This window comes from Homo sapiens, chromosome 3 (assembly GCF_000001405.40).
Source record: "Homo sapiens chromosome 3, GRCh38.p14 Primary Assembly".
Lineage (NCBI taxonomy): Eukaryota > Metazoa > Chordata > Mammalia > Primates > Hominidae > Homo > Homo sapiens.
Window position 1 is genome coordinate 32,934,236 of NC_000003.12, and position 3,035 is coordinate 32,937,270.

General features: G+C 41.9%; 1 annotated feature.

Annotated features, from left to right (window-relative positions):
- Positions 2,557–2,754: a silencer, noted in NCBI's record as "fragment chr3:32978284-32978481 (GRCh37/hg19 assembly coordinates)". NCBI's record gives its function as "represses an EF-1alpha promoter that drives an FKBP-Casp9 reporter gene in an ReSE screen in phorbol 12-myristate 13-acetate-treated (for megakaryocytic differentiation) K562 erythroleukemia cells {active_cell/tissue: K562(+PMA)}" and the evidence as "EXISTENCE:reporter gene assay evidence [ECO:0000049][PMID:32094911]".

Here is a 3,035-nt window from a genome sequence, read left to right on the forward strand (position 1 = left end):
GTCTGTGAGTTTTAAAGGCAAAATTGTAAATTTATCATGAAATCAATTTTCTAAATACTGGTCAATATAAATTGGAAAATGCTGCTGTACCTGCTGCCATCTGCTGGCAGGTTTCATTTCCCTAAAACAGCAATTTTCAAAGTGTGGTCTATGGATCCTGGGGGGAATGGGGGGAAAGAGGTCCCTGAGATCCCTTCCTGAGTATCCATGATATCAAAACTGTATTCCTAATAATACTATAACTTTATCTTTTTCACTCTGTTGATATTTGCTCTGATGGCGGGCAAAACCACTGAGGATCTTTGGACAAATCAAGGCACAACCACCAAACTGAACTTAAAAATGTACTTTCTTCACTGCTGTGCACTCCCAGAACCAGTTTCACTTAATAATGTCCTTGCAGGGCCAGGTGCGGTGGCTCACACCTATAATACCAGAACTTCGGGAGGCCGAGGCGGGAGAATCACTTGAGACCAGGAGTTCAAGACCATCCTGGTCAACCTAGCAAGACCCCATCTCTATAAAAAATAAATTCAAAAAAAAATTAGCTGGGTGTGGTGGCACGCACCTGTAGTCCTTAGCTATTTGGCAGGTTGAGGCAGGAGGATCTTTTGAGCCCAGGAGTTCAAGGTTACAGTGAGCTATGATTGTGCCACTGCACTTCAGCCTGGGTGACAGAGCAAGACTTTGTCTGTAATAATAATAATGATAATAGGCCGGGAGCGGTGGCTCACGCCTGTAATCCCAGCACTTTGGGAGGCCGAGGCGGGTGGATCACGAGGTCTGAAGATCAAGACCATCCTGGCTAACACGGTGAAACCCCTCTCTACTAAAAAATACAAAGCATTAGACGGGCGTGGTGGCGGGCGCCTGTAGTCCCAGCTACTCGGGAGGCTGAGGCAGGAGAACGGCGTGAACCCAGCAGGCGGAGCTTGCAGTGAGCCAAGATCGCGCCACTGCACTCCAGCGACAGAGCAAGACTCCATCTCAAAAAAATACATATATATAATAATAATGATAATAATCTCTTTGATAAAGTAGGAAAAAGTAATTTTTTTATCTCTACCCTTGAATTCACATGGAACTCCATTTTGCTTGAAAAAATGACAAACCATATATGATTCTTCTTTTTTTTTTTTTTTGATATAGGGTCTGGCTCTGTCACCCAGGCTGGAGTACAGTGGTGGGATCTTGGCTTACTGCAGCCTCTGCCTCCAGGGCTCAAGTGATCCTCCTTCTTCAGCCTCCTGAGTAGCTGGGACTACAGGCATGCACCACGACGCCTGGCTAATTTTTGTATTTTTTGTAGAGATGGAGTTTTCCCATGTTGTCCAGGCTGGCCTTGAACTCCTGGGCTCAAGCAATCCACCTGCCTTGGCCTCTCAAAATGTTGGGATTACAGGCATGAGCCACTGCACCGGGCCCCTTTATGATTCTTTAAACAAGGTGTTTGGTAGATATTTTATTGAAAATAAATAAAATAAGCTTGTGATTTCAAGTGAAACAACTGATAATGTTTGTCGCCACTGGTAAAATTTGAGCTTTCAAGCAAAAATTATACTTTAAGAAAATTTGTATTTGTTATCATGAATATGACCACTTGCCAGGAAGAATTTTCTGATGAGATCAGTGTGACATTACTGAATCCCATACGGTAGGCAGAATAATGGCCCCCAAGGGTGTCCATGTTCTAATCCCCAGAACCAGTGAATGTGTTTCTCTACATTCCAAAGGAACCTGGGTTAGGTGTAATAACAAGGGTCCTTGTAAAAAGAAGGCATGAGTTAAGAGAGGAGAGAAGATGCTACATTGCTGGCTTTAAAGACGGAGGAAGAGGCCATGAACCAAGGAATGTAGGTGGCCACTGGAAGCTGGAAAAGACAAGGAAACAGATTCTTCCCTAGAACCTCTAGAAGGAACCAGCCCTACTAACACCCAGAGAAACTGATTTCTGATTTCTGCCTGCCAGACTGTAAGATGGTAAATTAACGTTCTTTAAGCCACTGAATTTTGTAGTGGTTGTTTGTTACAACAGTAACAAAAAACTCTTACAGTGAGGTTTTGATATTGCATAATGAAATGTGAAAAATTTCACATTTTTCTTAAATCTCACAATTCAACTTGACTGAACCTTAACCAAATTGATCCCACTTCTCAATTATATGCAAGTAGGATCATTTACCAGCACTCAGTAATTAATGACATATCTCTTTTCCTTTTTTTAATAAAACCAGGAGACCCAAAGAAATACATCTTGGAATTTTTAACAATGTGTTCATGTCTCATACAGGAAATGAGCCTGGATCCTAAAACGATGGTAGATGATGGGTTTTATAATTGAGACAAACTGTTGTGCCATGGATATATTTTATTACACGAACTGATTACATCTGCTTGTTGTGTGTTGTAAATATTGTTCACATAAGTGATTTTGGTTCTCAAAGGTATGTGTATACTTAGGCACACACATAGAAACACACTGTGGTTTGATGAGATGTTCCTGTTATCATTTTTGTGATATTTTGTTATATAAAGTTATAAATATTTTCAGAGAAAGAAAAAGTTATTTTGTTTAAGTATCATTAATATTACATGAAAAAAATACGTATTTTTTGAGACGAAGTCTTGCTCTGTTGCCCAGGCTGGGGTGCAATGGCACGATCTCGGCTCAATGCAACCTCTGCCTCCTGGGTTCAAGTGATTCTCCTGCCTTAGCCTCCTGAGTAGCTGGGATTACAGTCATGTGCCACCATGCCCGGCTAATTTTTTTATTTTTAGTGGAGATGAGGTTTTACCATGTTGGCCAGGCTGGTCTCCAACTCCTGACCTCAGGTGATCCACCCACCTTGGCCACCCAAAGTGCTGGGATTACAGGCGTGAGCCACTGCACCTGGCCTTTGAAAATATTTTGAATCAAAATAAATTAAGTTTCAGCCAGGCACATGGCTCATTACTGTAATTCCAGAACTTTGGGAGGCCAAGACAGGAGGATTAGTTGAGCCCAGGAAGTTTGAGTTTGCAATGAGCTGTGATTG